The sequence below is a fragment of the Homo sapiens genome, chromosome 4 (assembly GCF_000001405.40).
Source record: "Homo sapiens chromosome 4, GRCh38.p14 Primary Assembly".
NCBI classification, from domain to species: domain Eukaryota; kingdom Metazoa; phylum Chordata; class Mammalia; order Primates; family Hominidae; genus Homo; species Homo sapiens.
The window spans coordinates 151,623,587-151,647,449 of NC_000004.12; the positions used below are offsets into that span (position 1 = coordinate 151,623,587).

A 23,863-nucleotide genomic window follows, 5' to 3' on the forward strand; every position below is an offset into this window, starting at 1 on the left:
ATAATAGCCATCCTTTACTGAGTCCTTTCTATGTGTTGAGATTTATGCACATTCTCTTTAATCCTCTTAATACTTTCAAAGATATTGATTATCCCCATTTTGCAGAGGAGGAAACAGGCTTAGATTAAATAACACAATAAAGGTTATAAAGGTAATAAATGTTAGGATTTGAACTCTAGTTTGTGTAGCTCCAAAGCCTCTCCTTTTTCTGAAAACCACTCTCTATTATCTTCCTCTCGCTGTTTTCCTCAAAACCTCATTTTCTGCTCAGAGCTGGCAACCGTATTCTCTGCAAGGCTAACATAACTTCTGATATAGACCTCACATAAGTTCAGGTCTTAAGTAGAATTTACTAATGCATTTGCCTTCTGCTTACAACAGCAAAACACTCAGAACTGTGTTTTGTTCATCTTTCTGTCCCCAGCACCCAGTACAGAGCTTTCACACCTGCATAAATGTTTGTTGAATAGGGCCATTCCTGATATGTTCCCATTGCGAGGAGGTATAGGAAAAGTTAGGAACCCCAAAGGAGCAGCATCCATAGCATTTGACAATATTCATGACAAGGTAATCTGAACACTGAGAACAAAATGGGAAATGCAGAAAAACAATCAACCAAATCCCAGATACTAAAGTTTGTACTTCGGGGACGGGTAGTCAGTGTTTATTCAGGTACCTCAAATTTGGGCCAGTTAAATGCATTGAGAGCAGCTCCAGGGAAGCAGCGCTCAGTGAGGAAGCCACATGGCCTTGGGAGCACCACCACTGCCTGTGGTGTGAGTGGCACTGCCTCCCACGTGTGCCTCTTGTACCTGGTTTTTCCCCAGGCAGACAGACCCCAGCTCCAAATTCCATTGGGGAGATGAGCGGTGTTTCACTATTCAGGGCCTGGAAGGACCCTGAAAAGCCATTTGTTCACTGCTTCCCTTTTCTCCCAGAAGGCATAAATTTATTATACTAATATATTTAATGTATTACAGATCCATTGAAGAAATGCTGGGAGAAAAAGGGCAGAGATTGGCTTTTATTTTAATACACTTTCCTCAAAATACGTTACTGAAATCCTCATTGTAGCCAGTCTGTTTCCTCCTTCCTCAAATATTTTAGGAATAAATCAGCAAACTTGCTGACTTTGGCTGTCACCTCCATTCACCTCCCCAGCTGGCCTCTGGCGGTGCTAGCAGTGTAGCGTGTGGCCTAGAGGTCGGGGAGCAGAAGGGAGGCATAGGGGAGCCGACGGGAGGGAGCCGGAATCATCAACTGCAGACTATTTTCAGATCTGGAGTCATTGAACATTTTCTGTCCTGAATTTTTGGCTGAAACAGTAGAGCTGCTTGCTGAGAACCAGGGCGTCTGTCTTCCCTTTTGTACTTAAATGTTCTTCTTGGCGCTTCTTGTCCTTGGAGGGGAGAAGATGGCTGCAAGGAGCCTTTCCAGCTGCTGCCCTTGGCTGCAGGTGGGTGGATGTGCCTCCCACCTGTCCGTTGGCTTGGCTCTCTCTGGCAGCAGCGGGTAGGCTCGTAGCCTGTGTTCCCTGTTAAGACCCTTTCACTCCTGTTTCGTGTGATCCAGCCTTGTCATTCTTTTCCCCTCTGCTGATTTCAGTGGGAGCTTCACTCTGGTTGGACCCACTGGGGCTGATGACTCACTGATAACCCAGGTGAACCAGCAGTTAGCTAGTTTTTTCCTCTGTTATCAAAGGAAAAGCCAAGGAAGGGTGGCTTCTAATTTGGAGAGGGTGCCACCTGCCTGCCTGACCCCACTGCCTGCCACCTGCCTGAGTGACAGAAGGTAGGATCCATCTGTTTGTTCCAATGTGACTAGATCACAAAAAAACAATTAGCAGCTTGGAAATGTATTTTTCAGGACACACATAAACCTGCCATTACAGGGAGGATTCTGGTACTAATTTAGATGCAAATGGGATCGCCTGACTAGAGCTGATTACAGAAAGGTCAGAATGTCTATATGCTCAATTTCACTCATACGCCGTGCAATAAGTTAATGTGCTTCTGCAGTTGTGGGCATGATGGCTGGGTTTGGTTCTGGCTTTAATTTTTTTTAGAGAGCTTTGGTTTTATAGAAGTAGAATGTGATGCATGGTGTCACCTCCTCCCTTCCCACCCACCTCCTTTTTAAAAGAAAACACACTGTCCATTTTGCCTATTTCTGGGAAGCTTGAAATTCTAATAAAAAATAAAAACACACTTTTGGAGCTCTTAGCCTAAGACAAAAAAGAGTAGATTGACTGTAAATTCAGTTGCCATCCTGTTCAGAAAACTGATCTCACCTATGTGTGCACTTCTTCCAGGCCAGACCTTGACGGGTTATAGCCTGGAGCATAGGGAACTGGCGATGAGAACTGGTGGGTGAAAGCATGGCGTAGATGATTGTGAACTGTGCTCCTGTGGTGTTTTTCAGATGTTTTTGGCTACTGCTCACAGTCAGAAATAATATTTTGTATGTTTGCATATATATGTATATTTACTGAATTTGCAAGCAAAGCACATATATTTAATGTATCACATTATGTATATTTTCAACAAAATATGTATACACAAGTTTGACAAAACAGGACTTGCCCTTACTACATGCAGGGCACTCTAATATTTTCTATTGGAATCTGGTCTAAACCATTAATGAAATAATAAACTGAATTCACTACCCACTTTTGGATTTCAAACTATAGTTTCAAAAACACCAGCTTAAGGGATTGGTGAAGATTCTCGGCATGAAGAAGGACCCGGACAAGGGCTATAGGAGTGTGGAGAAGATGGGCAGAGAAAGATTTATTTCCAAGGATGGACTAAACGGGACTCAGTAGCAGTAAAGTCAAGTACCTGAGTCAGGCCTCTATTCTGGAACTGACACATAATAGTGCTTAAGCAGAGACATTCTTTAGAGTAACAACTGTTCTTATCTTAGGGATAATTACTCATTTGTGGACACTGAGTTTTCTTTAGGTTATTTCAGTCATTGTGGCCCACCTTTAGTATGAAATAACATTCTTAAGCTTTAGTATCCCTAAACTTTATTATTGCGTATGATATGGCAGTAAGGTAGAATGTCATTTACTGTTTCTATTAGTATTTCTATGTAAATTCGTAGCTACCTGCAATTCTTTATAAAACAAATTAAATAAATATTGATAGTCATCTCTAAGACAGAGGTCTTACTTATATTAGCAGCTGATTGTCCTCCATAATGGGTGCATGAAGAAGATGCTACTTTCCAGTCTTGCTAACACTTCTTTGGGGCATTAGCAGAAGATTTCGTTTTACATTCTGCACAGCAGAGCATCTTTTCCCTGGTGGTTTATTGTTAGCTTTCCAGTGATCACACTTAGGCTCTGGTCTCATCCTCGTTAAGGAGGTTGCATATTTGGGGGGATTAGAGGAAGTTTCTGAAAGTAAGATAATGGGACAGGAAAAGATTTTCTGGTATAAAAAGCTCCTGAAGGCTCTGAGGATATGGTAGAAGGAAAAGATGGAAGAAGGGAGCCAGATTTTCCTGGTTTGGTTATTCGTTTAAGGTGAGTATGATCTGTTTATAAAAATAGGCAACTTAATGCTTAATGGACTTGGGTTTTTAATATTTATAGCATGTTATATAAATGCTGTCCCTCCAAGTGCTTTCTTAAATCCTCTTAGCTTATAAATGACAGCTTTGATTTCTAAAAAGAAATGAAATATTTTCATTTATCCAGCCTAACAGTAGTAAACAATAGATACTTAATGCCCTCCTTTCATGTTAGCCCTCAAAGACTGAGACTTGTAGTCTAAGGAGTTGATTGCTGTGCTTTCAAGCTTACTAAGGTCATGTGTAACTTAAGGGGGGAAAAGCTGATGCTACATTATTGGTGCAAAGGCTGGAATTCTGTATAACATGTCAGTTCAGCAGTGTTCCATAGATAAGCTGAAAATATTGTGTTACAGAAACTACATACATGGCCTGTTTGGAATGATTATGCAACTTTTTTCTAGTGATCAAGGTTGTTGGGGAATTAGATTTTTGCCTAAATCATTTAGGATTAAGTTTCTGCTAAAGGATCCCAAGTTTGCAGTAGTGAAGTGGATGTGAGCTAATGTAGGGTTGTTGTGAGTCATTTCCCCCTTAGCTATGATTGGTGACATCAGTTATTACAGAGATCTTTATAAAAAACGTCTCTACTTTCTGGGACCTTCAGGACACATGTAGAGGATAAAGGATAATTAAAAGTTAAACTAAATTCTGGCAAATATAAATCACTAGATCTTTGGGGCTATCATTCACTCAGGAAGAAGTACATTTTATGTGCCAGGCTTTGTGCATTGCATTGAGGTAATAAAGAAAAGACACAGTGTGCATCCCAGGGCAGCATTAGGAGTGCTTCATATATGGGACTAGAAAACATCAGGAAACACAAAGACGGAAGTAGTTTGTTTCAGAAGCAGGGGCAGACCATGAAAAGCACTCTTCCCAGTGCAATTTATTTGTTAAATGTTTGATGGTTGCCTATTTCTGTTGCTGTATATGGGCCACAGAGAGCTCTTTACAGTTGGTCAGATGACATAGTGGTGTATTGAATGACTGAGAACTTGCATTGTTGGCACCGAGCTAGGGGAAGGGGATTTGCGCTATGATATGTACTCAGACCACTGTGGAATGACTTCTCGTTAGATACTAATGCACTGGATAAGCATGCCTTGCTTAGATAAAGAAAACAGACACACTGACTTGGTAATATCTTATCCACCTGGGCTCATCTATCCAGAAGAAAGCTGAGCACCAATAACTTTTTAAAAGTAATTTAAACTGCCAAAATAGATAGCTCCAAGCCTTTATGCACAGATGCATCCACTCAGGGCTCATCTACACTTATGTAGCAGATCTGGACATCTGGTTTCTAAACTAATCTGTGGATTTTAAAAGCCGAAAATTAAAAGGGGAAGAGGAATGGAATATAAAAGGAATGGCCCAGTAACCGTAAGATAATGTGACAACTAACACTTTTAAAGGAAGAGAATGAAAGAAGATTTTAAAAAATGGAAAAGGGAAAATAATCACTCAAAAAGTATTGCCATCTGTTTTGTTTAAAATCGAGTGCATTTGACTCATGGTGGAGGGATTGCTAAGATTTCTAGGGTGTGTGGTATTAGAATCTGAGAGTTTGAACTATTTCTCTGGTGGTTTTCACGCATTCAGGTGTGGCTGTTTCTTTATGCTTCTGCGGGGCAATTGATGACCCTGGGAATGACCTCTATTCATCAAGAGATGGTATATTCTCATCTTAGGAGGACAAAGATGTATATGCTAGCTCTTAAAATACTCCCAATAAAAATGTTTAAGGTTAGAATTTTGATACTTGAAGCATCAAATCCTCGGCTTCTTGAAAAACTTGGCTCTTCAGAGTCTTATTCACTGAAAAATTGACATTTTACTGCATGAGAAAATTACACCAGGTAGCATATATTAATTTGTTATAAAAAAGTCGCAGTTACTTTATAAGCAGTAAGTTCTTATAGTACTTTGTAAATAACATTTTATGTGTATTATTCAGTTATAAAAAATTTGACATGCAGCTCTCCAGAAACACATCGGAACATCTGTAGCACTTTGTGTCTGTACTGCTCCTTTGCAATTTATATTATCATTTTGCTTGTCATAGCTCATCTTTCTGGACATAAGGAATGTTATGTTTTCAGCTCCTCGTACATAACAGGTCCCAATAAATGTTTACTGAATGACTAATAAAGAAACAAGTTATTCCGGGCTTTCTAATTAATCCTTTACTAACCATGTAAATACTTTCCATTATCTTTTTTCTTCATTTTTGATTACACTCTAAAATCTTTATGGTATTTGAACTGCATTTGATGATTAGAGTTACCAGAACACTTGAATTGATTCTTTATGCCTTTCTTTTTCCTTATTGAATTAAAGGGCGGAAACAGCATGAGGTATTGTGGAATGTGAATAGGTTATGGGCTTCAATAAAGCTCTGAAGTGTGTTTTCGTGGGCAGGCATGTTCTTGCCTTGATGATGTCACTGTGGTGAGGCTGGGGGCCACGGGAGAGGCGTGTATCACAGCATCAAAAGGATGCTCACCTGTGCTCACTCCGTTGTTTGTCCTAGGTGACTGTGGAAGAGGTCATGACCACAACTGCATATCTGGACCTTTTCCTGCGTAGCATCTCCGAGCCAGCACTACTTGAGATCTTCCTCCGTTTTATCCTATTGCACCAGCACGAGAATGTCCACATCCTAGACACTCTCACGAGTCGAATCAACACCCCGTTTCGGGTAAGGAGAGCGCCAGAGGAAGGGAACTTACAACTCAGAACAGATTTCAGGAGAGTTTTTTTTTGGGAATGAAATTATGAATATTCTCTTTTGCTCTCCTTTTTTTTTCTTTTTCTTTTTTGGTTGTTGTTGTTTTGTGGCCATTACCTTCTTTCTATTTGGGTAGAGATGAATGGAATAATGCGTTTTGTTCTCAGGGATCCTTCTGTCAAGAGGTGACACTTACTGCCTTTCCTAGGACATCTTTCGCTATTTCTCTGTTTTAGCACTTTCTTCTGTAGAACTAGCAGAGTGCACTTCTGTGGGGGCAAGATGCAAGGGAACATGTGGGCTTAAGCACAGATAAAGCCAAGGAACCAGAGTGCATCAAGTCTGGGTGTTAGAGATCATATTCCTGTCCATGAGTTTTCTTGAAATGGAAGTTTGGAAAGTTGTGAATTTGGGTGGTCATTCTTCATTTTGAAGCTCTGATTAACTTGAAAAATACTCCTCCCCAAAGGCTATCTCTAGTTAATTGCAATTCTTGTTTTAAAAGCAAAAGAATGAGAATGTATATATCATTCGGTTTGCAACATATATAGAGATAATATATAACAATAATTGCACAAAGGGGGGAAGAGGGAATAGACTTATATAGGAGTAATATTTCTATATTTCACTAGAGCTAATTTAATATAAACTTGAAGTAAATTCTGATAAGTTAAAATGTATACTGGAAGCCCTAGAGCAACCACTAAGAAAATAACTAAAAAAAGTGGAAAAATCTTTTAAAGGAATTAAAATGTTATACTAGAGAAAATATTCAATTAGCACTACACTTATCAGCAACATAATACACATTCTCCTCAAATGTACATGGAATATTCTCCAAGACAGACCATGTGCTAGGCCATATAACAAGCCTCAGTGAATTTAAGAGGATTGAAATCATGCAAAGCATGTTCTCTGATCATGATGGATGGAAATTAAAAAATTATTGACAGAAAGAAATTTGGGAAATTCACAAGTATATGGAAATTGACACACTTCTAATCAGTGGGTCAAAGAAGAAATCACAAGGAAAATGAGAATTTACTTTGAGATAAATGAGAATGAAGACAAAATATATCCAGACTTATGAGACACAGTGAAAGCATTGTTTAAAGGGAAATATATAGTTGTGAACACATATGTTAAAAAAAGAAGAAAGAGCTCAAAGCAGTAACCTAAGCTTCTACTTTAACACACTGGAAAAAGAAGAGCAAACAAAGCAGGCAGAAAGAAAACAATAAAGATTAGAGCAGAAATTAATGAAATAGAAAATTAAAAAAATGGAGAAAATAGGTGAAATAAAAAGTTGGTTCTTTGACAAGATTCACAAACCTTTAGCTAGGCTGAGAAAAAAAGAGGGAAGTCTCAAATTACTAAAATGAGAAATGAAAGAGGAGGATATTACTATCAACCTTACAGAAATAAAAACAATTAGGACCATGAGCAACTATATGCCAAAGGATGACTTAGATGAAATAGACAAATTCTAGAAAGACACAAACTTATGAAATGGAAGATCTAAATAAATTTATATCAAAATAAGATTAAAATAGAAATTAAAAGAACTACTCACAAAGAAAAGCCCAGACCCAGATGGCCTCACTGGTGAATTCTATCAAACATTTAGGCACTAGTTAAAAAGTGATGTCAGCAAAATGGTGGAATAGGAAGACCCAGGCCCTTATTCCCTCACAGAGAAACCCACTTAACAAAAATTTATGACCAAACTGCTTTTGTAAGAACTTCAGAAACTTTGTAAGAACACCAGTTAAGAGGTTGTAGCACAAAGCCAAGAAGAGACATATTGAAGTGTGCAGGAAAATTGGTGGCATTATTACCTGCTCTAGCCATGTCCCCTCCCCAACACAGTGTGGCAAGATCCAGAGAAAACTCCAACTACTGACTTTTACTTTGTGAGGGAAAGAAAAGAGTGAATTGCTTGCTTCACATTACTTCTTATGTTCTGTCTGCTTATTGGGAAAAGAGGAATAAAGTAGCTGTAAGACACACAGAAAACAACAAAATGGAAATAGTAAGTCCTTCCACCTCAGTAATTATTTTAAATGTGGATGGATTAAACACTCCAGTCAAAAGATATAAACTGGCTAAATAGATTAAAAAGAAGATCCAAGCATATACTGTCTAAAAGACACTCACTTTCGATCTAAGAACATGCATAAGCTGAAAGTCAAAAGATGGAAAAATATATCCTATGCAAATGGTAACTAAAAGAAAGCAGAGGTGGTTGTACTTATATTTAAAAATTAGACTTTAAGATAAAGAGACAAAAAAGGACACGAGATAAGGAATGACATTAATGATAAAAGGGTCAATTCACTAGTAAGATATAAATATTATATATAATACATGCATGTAAAAATTATATATATGTGTATATATATATATGCATGTAACATCAGAGTCCCCAAATATATGAAACAAACATTGACAGAATTACAGAGGGAAATAGACAGCTGCACAATAATAGTAGGAGACTTCAATGCCCTACTTAAATAGTGGATAAAAATATCAGACAGAAGATAAAGAAGGAAACAGGATTTGAACAACACTGTAAACCAATTGGACCTGACAGACATATACCAAATACTCCACCCAGCAATGGCAGGATATACGGTTCTCCTCAAGGGCACATGGAACATTCTCCAGGATAGACCACTTGTTAGGTCACAAAACAAAGTTTAACACATTTACAAAAATTGAAAGCACACAAATAATTTTTTTCTAACTGCAATGGAATGAAACTAGAAATAAATAGCAGAAGGAAAAGTGGAAAAAATTATGAATACATACAAATTAAACAACACATTCTTGGGCCAAAGAAGAAATCACAAGGGAATTTAGAAAATATCTGGAGACAAGTGAAAATGAAAGCACAATATACCCAAACTTATGAGGTGCAGTGAAAGCAGTACTAAGAGGGAATTTTATAGCTGTAAACACTTAGGTTAAAAAAGAAAATCTTGAAGCAACAACCTAACTATACATCTTCAGGAACTAGACAAAGAAGAATGAACTAAACTCAAAGTTAGCAGAAGGAAGGAAATGATAAAGATCAGAGCAAAAATCAATGAAATAAAGAATAGAAAAACCAATGAAACCAAGACTTGGTTTTTTAAAACAACAGCAATAATATTGATTGACCATTAGCTGGATTAACTAAGAAAAAAGAGAGATGACTCAAATAACTAAAATCAGAAATGAGAGAGGCGACATTACACCTTATGCCACAGAAATAAAAAAGAGCATACCACAAACAATTATACACCAACAAACTGGATGACCTAGAGGACCTAGATACATTCTTAGAAACATATAGCCTATCAAGGCTGAATCATGAAGAAATAAAAAAAAATCTGAACAGACTTGCCTCAAGTAAGGAGATCAAAACTGTAATGATAATTGAAAAATCTTAAAGAAAAACCCAGGACCAGATGGCTTCACTCTAGTGGTCTACCAAACATGTAAAGAAGAATTAACATCAGTCCTCCTTGAACTCCTAAAAACCTGAAGATCCAGGAACATTTTCAAACTAATTTTATGAGGCCAGTGTTGCCCTAATACCAAAACTAGACAAAGATACTTCAAGAAAACTAGAGGCCAGTATCCCTGATGACTGTTGATGCAAAAATCTTTAACAAAATACTAGCAAAAAGCATTAAACAGCACATGGTAAGGATTGTATAACATGACCAAGTGTGACTTATTCCTAGAATGCAATGATACTTCACCATATGAAAGTCAGTCAGTGTAATATACCACATTAACAGAATGAAGGACAAAACCCACAGCGTCATCTCAATTGATACAGAAAAGGCGCTTGACAAATTCCACACCCTTTCATGATAAAAGCACTCAACAAACTAGAAATATAAAGAAACAACTACAACATATTAAAGGCCTTATATGAAAAGCCCGCAGCTAACATCTTACTCAATGGTGAAAGACTAAAAGCTTTTTCTCTGAAATCAGGAACAAGGCAAGGATGCCCACTTAGAGGTCCTAGCCAGAGCAATTAGGCAAGAGAAAGAAATAGAAAGCATTTAAATTGGATAGAAAGAAGTTAAATTGTGTCTGTTTGTAGACAACATAATCATATATATAGAAAACCCTAAAGATGTCACCAAAAAACTGTTAGAACTAACAAGCGAGTTCAGTAAAGTTACAGGATACAAAGTCAACGCACATAAGTAATTTCTATATATTAACTATGAACAATTCGAAAAGGAAATTTTAAAAAGTTCTTTATAATAGCATCAAAAAGAATAAAATACTTAGGAATAAACTTAACTGAGGAGGTGAAAGACTTGTGCACTGAAAACTACAAAACATTGAAAGAAATGAAAGAAGAACAAATAGAAAGACATTCCGTGTTCATGGATTGAAAAACTTATTTTCATTAAAATGGCCATATTACTCAAAAGCAATCTACAGATTCCATGCAATTTGTAACAAAATCCCAATGGCATTTTTTGGGCAGAAATAGAAAAAAAATCCCAAAATTTATATGAAATCTCAAGGGACTCTGAATAGCTGAAATAATATTGAAAAAGAAGGAAAAAGTTGGAGAGCTCACATTTCCTTAAAACATATTACAAAGCTATAGTAATAAAAAACAGTGTGGGACTAGCATAAAGACCAATGAAACAGAATAAGAAACAGAATGAAACAGAAATGAACCGTTGTATTATGGTCAAATGATCTTTGACAAGGGTGCCAAGACTACACAATAGGAAAGGACGGTTTCATCAACAAATGGTAATGGTAAAACTGGATATCCACATGCAAAAGAATGAAGTTGAACCCTTACTTTACACCGTATAAAAAAATTAACTCAAAATGTATCAAAGACCTAAACATGAGATCTGAAACTACAAAACTCCTAGAAGAAAACATGGAGGAAAACTTCATAGCAATGGATTTTGTAATAATTTCTTGGATATGACACCAGAAGCGTAGGGAAAAATAAGACAGATGGGAGTACATCAAACTTAACAACTTAGGCGTATCAAATGAAATAATCAACAAGATGAAAGGGCAACCTACAGAATGGGAGAAAATATTTATGAGTCATATATCTGATAGGGGGTAGTATCCAGAATATATAAAAAGTTCTGTAACTCACCACCAACCAAAAACCCAAATAATCTAACTTAAAAATAAACAAAGTACTTGAATATTTCTATGAAGAAGACTTACAAAGGACCAAAAAATATATGAAAAGATTAGAGAAGTACAAATCAAAACCACAATGAGATATTATCTCATATTCATTAGGGTGGCCACTATCCAAAAAACAGAAAAAATTAGTGTTGGTGAGAATGTGGAAATACTGGAACCTTTGTGTCTTGTTTATGGGAATGTAAAGTGGTGCAGCTATTATGGAAAACAGCATGGAGGTTTCCCAAGAAATTAAACATAGGTTTAGTACATTATCCAGCAATCCCACTTCTGGGTATATATCTAAAAGAATTTAAAGCACGATCTTGAACAGATATTTGTACACCCATGTTCATTGCAGCATCATTCACAATAGCCAAGAGGTTGAAGCAACCTAGATTGTCCATTGATGGATGAATGGATAAGAGAGTATGTTATATATATACAATGGAATGGAATGTTATTCAACCTTAAAAAAAAGAAGGAAATCTTGTCATATGCTACAACACGGATGATCTTTGAGGGTATTATGCGAAGTGAAGTAAGCCAGTCACAAAAAGACAAACTGTAGGATTCCACTCATGTAAGGGATCTAAAATAGTCAAACTTAAAGAAACAGAGGGTAAAATGATGGTTTCCAGGAGCTAGGTGGTAGGGAAAATGGGGAGTTGTTCGGTGGTTACTGAGTTTCAGTTTTGCAAAATGTAAATGTTTTAGAGATCTGTTGCATAACAATGTGAATATAGTTACCACTAGTGATTTGTATGCTTAAAAATCATTAAGACGTTAAATTTTATTTATGTGTTCTTTATCAATTTAAAAAATGAATAATTAATACAGATTCTTCACAGACTCTTTCAAAAATTAGAAGAGGAGGAAATACATCTCAACTCATTCTATGAAGCCAGTGTTATTCTGATTCCAAAACTAAACAAAGACACCACGGGAAAACTCTACACTAACATCTACTATGAATATGGGCTCCCCAGTTCTCAATAAAACACTAGCAAATGAAATCTAGAATAAATAGAAAGGATTATACACTATGATCAAGTGGGATATATCAAACTAGGATTGTAAAGCTGGTTTAAAGTCTGAAAATCAATTAATGTAATACATCATATCAAGATAAAGGAAAACATCATGATTATCAACAGCATACTCAACAAATTAGAAATAGAGGGGAACTTCCTAGCAATCTGATAAAGGGCATCTATGAAAAAGTCAGAGCTAACATTATACTTAATAGTGAAGAATGTTTTTCACTAAGATAAGGAAGAAGGTAAGATATCTTCTCTCCTCAATTCTATTCAAGATGGTACTTAGTTCTAGCCAGGGCAATTCAATAAGAAAATGAAATAAATGCATTTATATTAAAAGTAAAATAATCAGTATTTGTAGATGACATGCTCTTGTATGTAAAAAACTAAGGAATGCACTAAAATTGTTAGAATGAATGAGTCTAGTAAGGTTGCAGATACAAGATTAATGTACAAAAATCAATTTACAATAACATCAAAAGAATAAAATATGAATAAATTTTTACAAAAGAAGTGCAAAACTTGTGCTGCAAAAACTATAAAACATTGTTTAAATTAAAGAAGACCTAAATAAAAGGGAAAACACCCAATGTTCATAGACCAGAAGACTTAATATTGTTAATATAGGAATACTCCACAAATCGATCTACAGTTTCAATGCTTTTCTATAAAACTCCTATCTGGCCTATTTGTTGAAATAGATAAGCTGACTCTAAAATTCATATGGAAATGCAGTGGACCCAGAATAGTCAAAACAAACTTGAAGAAACAAGTTGGAGGACTCACCGTACCTGGTTTCAAAACTTTCTACAAAGCTACAGTAATCAAAGCAGTGTGGTGCAGGATAGACATACAGACCAGTGGAACAGAATTGAAAATCCAGAAATAAACTCATATATCCATGGTCAATTAATTTTCAACAAGATTTCAAGACCACTCAGTGGGAGAAAGAATAGTCTTTTTAACAAATGGTGCTGAGACAATTGGATATCCATGTGCAAAATAATAAGGCTGAATCCACACCTCATGCCATATACAAAAATTAACTCAAAATGGACCAAAGACCTAAATGTAAGAGCTAAAACTATAAAACTCTTAGAAGAAATCATAGGAGTAAATCCTTGTAGCCTTGACAGTGTTTTCTTAGATATGACACCAAAAGCATGAACAACAACAAATGAAAAAATTGATAAATTGGAAATTATCAAAATTAAAAACTTTTGCCTTCAAGGGACAACAGCAGGAACTTGAAAAGACAATTCACAGAATGGTAGGAAAGTTTTGCAAATCATATATCTGATAAGATACTTGTACACAGAATAAACAACTCCTACAACTCAATAATAAAAAGATAAATACACCCTGCTGCTCACCCTTAACAGTGAGCGGTAGGGGTTACTATGCAATCTGATAAATTAACAGTGATTTGCAGGGGTTACTGTGGCAATGGATAAGAAGGAAACCTAACTGAGCTGGGGAAAGGAAGTGTTGGATGGTAATATTGTGAGACAGAACAGAAAGGTTTCTTAAGGGAGGCGATGCCTAAGCTAAGACTTTGAGAATAGATAGGAGTTAGCCCATGGGGGAGTCAGGAAAAGGCATTGCATTTAATGGAACCACGTGTGCAAAGACTTGGAATGGGAACAGAGTATGTTGCTTCTAGCTAACGACAAGTATATGACCTGCCCTGAGGATAAGAGATGTTTTGAGTTAGGCTAAGTACAGCTCTTTCTTTACAGCATTGTTGTAGATTTCATTGGCCAGATTTTAAGCCCAACCTGCCTAGAAGACAGACTAGCATTTATTCTCCTGTACAAAGAATGAGAGCTTAAAATTACTTAAATGGGCCAGTATGATTGTTAAAAGCTTACTCTCAAAAGGGTACAAAGATTTTACAATACACCTTTGGGTATCTCCCCTGTTTGGCAGTTTACCTTCTCTTTTTGGAAATCAGTGATTGATAGAATTCTTGTGTTTTAAAGAACTTTTTAGAAAAGAACATTATCTCACCCTCAGCACAATGGGAAATGGAACCAAGGAAAATGCCCCAAAGCCAAGAGAGGAGCTGAGCTTGAGGCTAAGAACTCTGAAGGGAGACTTGGCTAGGTTATATGCAATTTTCTGCAAGCCCTGTCTTGTAAATAACTAATGGCATATTTGAAAATAACTCAGGAAAACAAATTACCTAAATAGGAGATTGTGTGTGTGTGTGTGTGTGTGTGTGTGTGTATGTGAGAGAGAGAGAGAGAATTGGAGAATTGTAGGTAGAATGTTTATCTGTCTGGATCTTTAAAAGTTGGAAATATGAGCCCAGACATTTTTGTAGGAAGATAATTCTGCACAGTGGCATAATTCCAGACACTGGCTTTCTAATCAAATCCTATAGGAGAATTGATATCCTGAATACACATTCTCCCTGGCAGCAGCATGCTTTTTATCAAAACTGCTAAAAAAAAAAAAAGGCCATTATATTTTGTAATTCTGATTTATTTACTATCTGTGGGGAGTAGAGTTATCGTTCCAACATCTGAACTAGAATGTGTGTCTCTTGCTTCCCAGCTTTGTGTGGTGTCTCTGGCATTATTCAGAACTCTCATTGGTTTACATTGTGAAGATGTGATGTTACAGCTAGTTCTAAGGTGAGTTGCCTTTTTTGTTTCCTTTAAAGAAAAATTCACTTTATACTTTATATTACTTTATATTCATATACTTTGTTATTTATATACTTTATATTACTTTGGTTGTATAAGCTAAAAAGGCGCCAAGCATCTAAGGAAGAAAATTATCACGAACATTAATTTATTTTTTGCATTGTTTCCCAAGGTTAATTTTATTTGTACTATTAAAAGTTTTTAGAGGGCCATATGCATTATATTGTAAATATGCTCCTGGAAATTATAGATAGAATGCTTGAAAATGTTCAGAAGTATTATAAAAGCTATTCTGGTCTGTGGCTGAATGTCTTTCTCCTGAAGTGCATTTATAGGGGACTTTTGCTATTAAAAGCAAGTGTTCCAAATATAAAGTGCTTTTGATATATAATTTCTATGATTTTTGCTTTGATAATGATACACACAGTGTATTCTCTCTGATCTGTGAGTATATTTCAGTTAAATTCAGTAAAAATTTGATGAGTATTTGCTGTGAACTGAAAGGTAGCAAAGGTTTGTCCTTTGGACGGAAGTACAGGTGGGAAAGGTTTTATGAAGTGGCTGGGATTTGAGGACGAGTATTAGGAGTCAAAGTGCACAGCTATTAAGAAGACATTCATTTGGCAGTTTAATAGGGGACTCAGGAACACCAAATCTTGCCTTGGCCCAGCAATCCCTCTTCTTCTCTGGAACGCTGTGAGAAGCATCTGTTTTTGTGAAGGAAAGCAATGATGCTTCCTTATTAGCTCATGATTTAGCCCCGAATCTCTGCACAGAACTCTAGAAACTCCTGGTTAGACCATGGTGTACATCTTTCCTTCTTTTTGGTAAACCCAGATCCTGAATCTTGGAGTTGACTACTCTGGTGAAACCCTACCCCAGCACTGCAAGAAGCGGACCCAGAGAGAATGTGGCCCCAAAGCTGAGAGAGGAGCGAAGGGCTAGGGCTGAGAGGAGCTCCGAGTTGCGAGGGTTTGTGCTCTTACATGCTCTTCTGGTGGTGTGGAAGCAAAAACGAAAAAGTGGGACTACCAGGGTCCTCCAGCATGCGCTCCCTGCTCCTCCTTCCTTAGTGGACTTCCTGACCCTTCATTTGACCAGTCCTGGGGAATAAGGGTGGGTGGAGCTGAGAGTGGGGGAAGAGGGAGGAGACCTGGTCTTCCCCTAGTCCACATTGGGGTTTTGACATGATTTGAGTAGAGGTTACTGAGAAGAAGACATTCCAGGTGGATGCACTAGCATTTCCAAATAGGTAGCTCTGGAAAAGCCAGGGGTGTCAAAGTGTGATGCTGGAAACTAGTTAGAAATGCAAATTCTTGGTCTCCTCTCGGACCTACTGAATCAGAAACTCTGGGGTTAGGGCCCAGCAAGCCATGTTTTAACAAATTCCGGGGGATTCTGATGCACTACTAAGTTTGAGAACCACTTTGAGGAGTGATGCCGTGCAGGCATAACATCTTGCAAAAGAGAGTGATTACAAAATGAGTGTGAAAAAGCTGGTAGTGGCCTATTGTGGAGGGCCTTACAGAATTGTCAGGAGAGTATCACCTATTAGTTTTTCAAGTTTAAAAGAGCTTTTGAACTTTTTACAGTTTTAGATTAGGTCATCAGTAGCTAATCTTAAGGATTAGCAGAAAACAAATCCAATCTTAAAGAAACACCCTGGGTAGTCTGGGTAGAACATTAGTTATCTTTCCTAAAAGGATTATGTTAGCTCCTCATCAAGCCTCTACTGATATATGACAGAATGCATTAGCAAGGCCTGAATGAAATCCAGAACAACTTGGCAAAGCCGTTTTTAGTGCCAAAAAAACCAGGCTTTTACTCCAAAGTGGGTAAAGCCTGATGGTATTTAAATGTTAAATTCTTAAATACTGCTTCTTTGATGGTAGGAAAACCAGCTGTCTTTTTCAGTGTACTTGGAAGCCTGGCCTTGATCTGGAGGTGCAGAGCCTCCCAGCTCTGGGTCACCAAGTCAGATTTAGTCTAGGTGATGGAAGCTCTTGCTTGCTGGCTGTTCAGTGGCCTTTAGAAGGTGAGTGCTGATCACCCTTTTACTGCTCATATAGTGGTGTTTGTTGTGTTACAAAAGTGTCCGCAGAGATGGCATCGGTAATGGCTTCTCTGGAGACCCAGACTTGCCCCTTATAAAGATGAAGAGATCAGCTCATGGTTGAAATACATAAATGTTCAAGTCAGGGATAGTCATTTCTAGGGTGGGTGAGGATAAATATACCAGGAAAGTGCCTGAATGTTATGTTATCACAAGTTCTGAATGGAATAATGGAAAAAAAAAAATGCCAGACCTGACGTTAGGAGATGGGCTTGACTGCCTGGTCCTAGACTCTCTGGGCCCATGTTTCTTTAATGAGGATGATAGTGATAATAATAATAATATAGTTGCTCTTAATTGAATACTTCCTCTGTTTCTAATTCTGCTGTGCTGCTTGAGGGATTCCACCAGGAGAGAAACTGAGAGGACATACACAGAAGTCAGTTGGGCACATAATAGGCATGCAAGAAACCACTGGCTCCTGGTATCCTTCTTCTGCACTGCTGATGTGACTCAGCATGTTTTGGTTTTGGAGTATGCCACCTCATAAGATTATTGGGAGGATCAACTGTGGTGATGTTTGTGAAAATGTTTTGAAATGCTGTAAAGCAAGGTTGTGTAACCTGTGGCCTGCGGGCCGCATGTGGCCCAGGACAGCTTTGAATGGGGCCCAATGCAAATTTGTAAACATTCTTAAAACATTATGAGATTTTTTTGCAATTTTTTTTTCTTTTAGCTATCATTAGTGCTAGTGTATTTTATGTGTGGCCCAAGACAATTATTCTTCCAGTGTGGCCCAGGGAAGCCAAAAAATTAGACACCCCTGCTATAAAGTATAACACACATTTTAAGGGAGGGAATTTTCTAGAAAGGACATTTTAAACTAATGAAAATAATTCTTTTCAGATTTAGAATCTGTGCAAAAAGCAAAGCCAATAAAAAAATCTTTATTCTTCAAGTCATTTAAACATTATTTTAAGGGACATAAAAAATAGATTTATAATCTGTCCTTTTTGTTTGTTGCTGCCACTGCAGTCATTTGAATATACATGATAAACTTGCAGATCTGAGAGGCAGTAGAGCTGTGAAGATTATGTGACTGCGTTTAATGAAGGTATTTGTTATGTGATAAATAAATAATGACTGTATGTCAATTTTTATTACAACCCAAATACTCATAAATACCAACATTTCAAAATGATGATCCATTTGTAACGGATACTAGTTTCTTTCATTTGGTGAAATATCAGAAAAGTAAGTTGAAATAAGGTACCCCCAAAGACAGGATATTTTAGTGAGCAGAAAACCAAGGAGAAATTGTCCACCTCCACGGATATGACATATGATAGGCCAAAGGCAGGCAGGAAATGCTGACAAGCAGTGAGGTAACAAATCTCTGCCATGTGCCTGGAACCTCCCAGTTGAGACAAAATTTAATTGCTTAATACATTGAATACTATTTCTGAATATTCTTTTTAGAGAGTTTTTTTCAGAAGTACTGGTCCATTGTCAGGTTTATGAACTGTCTTGCCTGTTGTGTTCAGATAGAGGTTGTTTTGCCTGAAGAGAAGCTGTGTGTATACTTCAGGAACATTTTCATCTTGCATAGGAGCTAGGGGTTTGGAGGAAAGGAAAACAACAACAACAACAACAACAACAACAAAAACCCTGTAAAGCCTGCCAGCCTAGGGGAAAATGAATAGGAGAAATATGGCCAGAACTTCTTTGAATCACAAATGATCTTTTTGAATTCACTAACATTGCTTTGTAGATGTTTGTCTATTGGTGCATTGTTGGGGTTATCATCCCAGAAGAAGCACTTCACTTAGCTCATCGTACTTCACTGCCTTGTTTTGCTTGTGTTTATGGTCAGTGTAGCATAGGGCAATATGTATGCTTTGTTATCAATTGATTGTCACAGAATTATTTTAGAAGTGATGATGGTTTAATTTAATGACCGATATCCAAGAAAATAAGAAACAGGCCCAGGGTTATAAAGGGTTGGGGAAATAGTGAAAATCAGGGAGGACAATATGTATGATATATATATATCATATATCATATTTTGGACAATATGTATAATATATATGATACATATTTTATTTATATATTATATATATATTTTTCTTTTTTTCCTTCTGTGTTGGGGGATGGCTTTGCAAAATCTGGACCTCTGAAGTCAGATATTTATTAGTCTCTGATTATTTTTATAGTTTCATGAATTTAAATTCTCAAACAAAATACATATAGTATAAATGAAAAGATAGTTTGATGATAAATACCTATACTAAATTCATAAGTGATTTTTCTACTATTGACAGCCAATTCATTTTCATATTTGAAATGTGGGGATATTCTGGCATTCATTCTATTTCTAATCTTTTCCTGTGAGTGATGAAAAGACAGAGACAGAGGAGCACAGTCTGTTTTTCTATTCTTTCTTCTGGGATGATCCTTCATTTTAAAGATACAGCAGAACCACTGCTTTTTTCTTTTCTTTTGAAAATTGATGTATAATAGTTGCACATATTTTTGGGGTACACATGATATTTTGATGCATGCGTGCACTGTGTAATAATCAAATCGGGATCATTAGGATATCTATCATGTCAAGCATTTATCATTTCTTTGTGTTGGAAACATTACAATTATTTTCTTCTAGCTATTTTGAAATATACAATAAATTATTGTCAACTGTAATTTCTCTACTGTACTATTAAATACTAGCACTCTATCTAGCTGTATTTTTGTACCCCTTAACTAACTTCTTCCCCCTTCCCTTCCCAGCCTCTGTAACCACCATTCTACTCTTTACTTCCATGAGATTCACTTTTGTAGCTCCCGCGTATGAGTGAGAACATGTGATATTTGTCTTTTTGTGCCTGGCTTATTTCACTTAACATAATAACCTCTGAGAACCACCATTCAGAATACTGGCGGGCTATTCATTTGAATAGACTCCCCATTTCCAGTTTCGTAGACTCTCTTTCAACCAATAGGGGATCTCCCTTGATTTGATTTATTCAGAAGAAAATTTTTAGTTTCTACTGAAAGCATGTGTTTGTAAAGTTGCAAATTCCCAATAAGTCTTTATTCTAATATAGTTTCAAGCTACCCACTGGTGATATTTGATAAATAGCTTTATTAGCTTTGATCCAGTGTTCCATTTTTAATACTTCAAACAAAGAATAAAAATCTATGAATATCAACTTAAATCATGAAATATGCTTAGTTTGAGCTGTAAGCAGTCATTGCTGTTCCAGCAGTATATAAAAGCATTGAAGCAGTTTATTTCTTAAATAATTAATGACCAAAATAAGGATACCATAAATCCTGTGTAATCCGAATTTCTCTAGGCCTCACCAGCCTATAGGAAGAGTTCACATCAATGGCTACAGGACAGATTTTCCCAGCTCTCACCCCAGCCACCTCATAGAAAACCTTGGGCCCAACCCCCAAACCCCCCACCCAACACAAAAAGTATCACTTATCACTTCTAGGGATCACCAAGTGAGAAATCTTTTTTGTTTATCTGTTTTTGTTTTTTAGAGACAGGCTCTCACTCTGTCCCCCAGGCTGGAGTGCAGTGGTGTAGTCATAGCACACTGCAGCCTCTATGTCCTGGGCTCAAGTGATCCTCCTACCTCAGCCTCCCGACTAGCTGGGACTACAAGTACACACCACTACACCCGGCTAACTCTTCTATGTTTTATAGAAACAGGATCTTGCTGTGTTGCTCAGGCTCGTTTTGAACTCTCGGCCTCAAGCAGTCCTCCCGCCTTAGCTTCCCAAAATGCTGTGATTGCAGGCATGAGGCACAGTACCCCACCCCCAAATAAGGAGTCTTAAATATATGCATGAACAAATCTCCCACCACGGTTGCCACAGCAGCATCAGCCATGGTCCTCTCTCCTGCTCTGATCCCTTTTGTTGCTGCTGCCTTCCCTTCCCACCCCTCAACCTGCTGCCCCTGTTCCTGCTGTGCACCCTGGCGCCCTCCTGTGGTGCTAGAGCAGCATTGTCTTCTCTGGGTGCCCACTGGGGTCCAGCTATGCTTTGTTCACAGCTGGTGGGTTCACACAGAGGTGCGAGAATGCTTCTCTCTCCTGTGTTATTTCTGGTTACCAGAGCATCTCTACTCACAGATATCCTTGTGGAAAAGAGCTCCTTTATTTTCTGCCTGCAGCATTCATTTTTCCTCATTGCTAAAGTCCCCAAAACTAAGCCAAGAATCAGAACAGTCTTGCCCCCTGTTCCATACTTTCCTTTTTGTCCTTGTAACCTTCTACTTTCATGAAACTGCGCTTATGAAAACAGCTGCCACCACATCAGACCTGCAGGGTGTGTCTGGTTCTTACTGACAGCAGGTTCAAAATATATATCTGCCCATGGAGACAGTAGGAGGAGGGGATGAGGACCGCCTTACCTAGATGGTTTGCTTTTTCTGAAAACTGAAGGTTAAGTGGCAAGTTTGCTATATCATACCTGGAAAGTATTATTAAAACCTTCAGCATCAAGTACCACACAGAGAATGGAATCTTTCTTTCCTCTCTGACTCTGGCTCTTGCAGTGGATCAGTTGGGAATATCAACTTAGGTTTTCCTCATTTGGATCAGCAGGAGGTATGGGAGATGGTTGAATGTTTACAGGCCTGAAGGCATGTCCTGAAAGTCGTACTTTTTATCTTTTTTTTACAAAAACCTTAATCTTAGCTTGTTTTTCTCTGCACGGCTTCTTTCTCAAATGCCAAATACAGAAGCAAAAACACTCTGGCTGATTGAAAGTTTGTGATCGTTCACATAAGGGATTAGGCTCATCTGCAATTGGCTCCTGCACACATATGTGATGCTTGGCTCTGGCTATAAGTTCTTTATCCCATTTGCTCCATTTTTGTTTAAATAAGCAGTATGTTTTTTTTCCCTGTTAAGAAAGTAAGTCATTTAAACACACTTTATTCTAGCCATGAAGCCCACTGATGTGCTCCAGGTGTGTCAGAAATGGTTGCTCAGGTTTTCTTGTCCCCAGGTTCAAAATGATACTAAGATGCTTTTGATCACCAACCAAAAGTGTTTTATGTGAAATGGGGCCCAGTGATCCTCAGTGAGTCATTTACCATTATATTTTCTCCTGGCCACACGTAAGAACATAAGAAAAGGTTTACACTATGGAGTGGTTGTTTGCTGCTGCCATTCAGTGCCTGCAATGAGCCAGAGTTTCTGGGATTATAAGAGAAATGACTGAAGCAGCTCCTTGCTGTGGTAGCACATTATATTCAGGAGGTAGACTGAAGTAATTGTGATACAAGATAATATTGCTTAATAGAGGCCCATGAGCATAGTGGAGGGAGGGATTAGCTCCCTCTCAGAGAAGGTGACACTGAAGCTGGACTTTGTAGAATGAAAGGCATTGGTCAGGCAGAGAAAAGGGGAAAGCACAGGCCAGGTAAAGGTGACAGTGGGCACAAAGGCATGGAGTTTGAAGAGGGATCGTTTAAGAGATGAAGAAGTTCCTGGAGATTGAATTATAAAGACCATTAAGTGCTTTGCAAAGAGGTTGTTCTTTCAGAAGAAATTAAGCTAAGGAGTGAACCCTGGTGGCTGGTGAGATGATCAATTGAGAGCTGAGAGAGGATGAGTCTGCCCCTGGCCACAAGGAGTCCCTGTTATGGTTTAGTTAGTCCCAGTAATGGTTCAAGACATTGCAGAGACCAAACGCTTGTTCTTTTTGTCATTCTAGGTATCTGATCCCCTGCAATCACATGATGCTGAGTCAGAGGTGGGCTGTGAAGGAGAGAGACTGTTACTCTGTTTCTGCGGCCAAGCTTCTCGCCTTGACTCCTGTCTGCTGCTCCAGCGGGATCACTCTGACGCTGGGGAACCAAGAGAGGGATTATATTCTCTGGTCAAAGTGTATGCATGACACTTCAGGTAGGAACTCGCTAGTGATGATCTTTAAACAAAAGGATGCCAGTTCCATCTCGCCTTGGGATATGTGTCCCTTTGGGTAGACAGGGAATTATGTGGTGGGTCCCATTTCTCTTATGAATGACTAGTTAGGATCCTTTTCTGCTTTGTAAGGAGTTATGGACACGTTGTAATCAGTGTTTATTGACGTGCCCAGATGTTACGTTCTGTTGCCAGATCTTTATTTTACGTAGACTTTCTAGTGGGATCCTCAGAGTCAAAATGTGAAAACGTGTGCTAGCATGTCTTCGGAAACAAGACGGGGGTGAGAGGTGTGGAGATGGCTATTGCTGAGACAGAATCAGCCCTAATTTTAATTTCTAAAATGAGCCACTTATAGAAATCTGTCATAAGGATTTACATATTATTATATATCACTATAAAACTTGAAATTTGTGATATGACAGCAAAATTGCATGCATTTGATTGACCTAATGAGGAAGGCTGCCATAAATACTTTACAGGGGTTATGATACTTGGTGCTATTTGCCAGCTACAGTTCACCTCATACAAGCAAAACTGAAATGGCCATCTCTGTCAACCTTGGCCCTCTGGCAGGCAGCTAGAGCAAGGGAGCATCTGTATATCTTTGATGGTCATATGGCTGTTTCAATTCAGGAACATTCTGTGTGTCCTGTGACCACTAGGAAATGCCCAGTCCTGGT

At 37.9% G+C, this 23,863-nt stretch overlaps 1 protein-coding gene across 10 annotated transcripts in view, besides 1 other annotated feature; it reads left to right on the forward strand.

Moving 5' to 3' along the window:
• FHIP1A (FHF complex subunit HOOK interacting protein 1A) overlaps positions 1-23,863 on the forward strand; it is a 261,328-nt gene that overhangs the window by 214,411 nt on the left and 23,054 nt on the right. For 9 of the 10 annotated variants that reach the window (XM_024454201.2, XM_047416127.1, XM_011532221.3 and 6 more), the window contains 3 exons: positions 6,116-6,283; positions 15,091-15,170; positions 22,972-23,162. In XM_024454201.2, coding sequence (XP_024309969.1) covers positions 6,116-6,283; positions 15,091-15,170; positions 22,972-23,162 — 439 coding nt within the window. Of the gene's footprint in view, positions 1-6,115; positions 6,284-15,090; positions 15,171-16,023; positions 16,155-22,971; positions 23,163-23,863 lie in introns of those variants that run through there. The other variant, XM_017008583.1, reaches the window with a different exon arrangement.
• Positions 22,553-23,114: an enhancer, noted in NCBI's record as "NANOG hESC enhancer chr4:152567291-152567852 (GRCh37/hg19 assembly coordinates)". NCBI's record gives its function as "activates a minimal SCP1, AML or CMV promoter by ChIP-STARR-seq in primed H9 embryonic stem cells {active_cell/tissue: H9 hESC(primed)}" and the evidence as "EXISTENCE:reporter gene assay evidence [ECO:0000049][PMID:30033119]".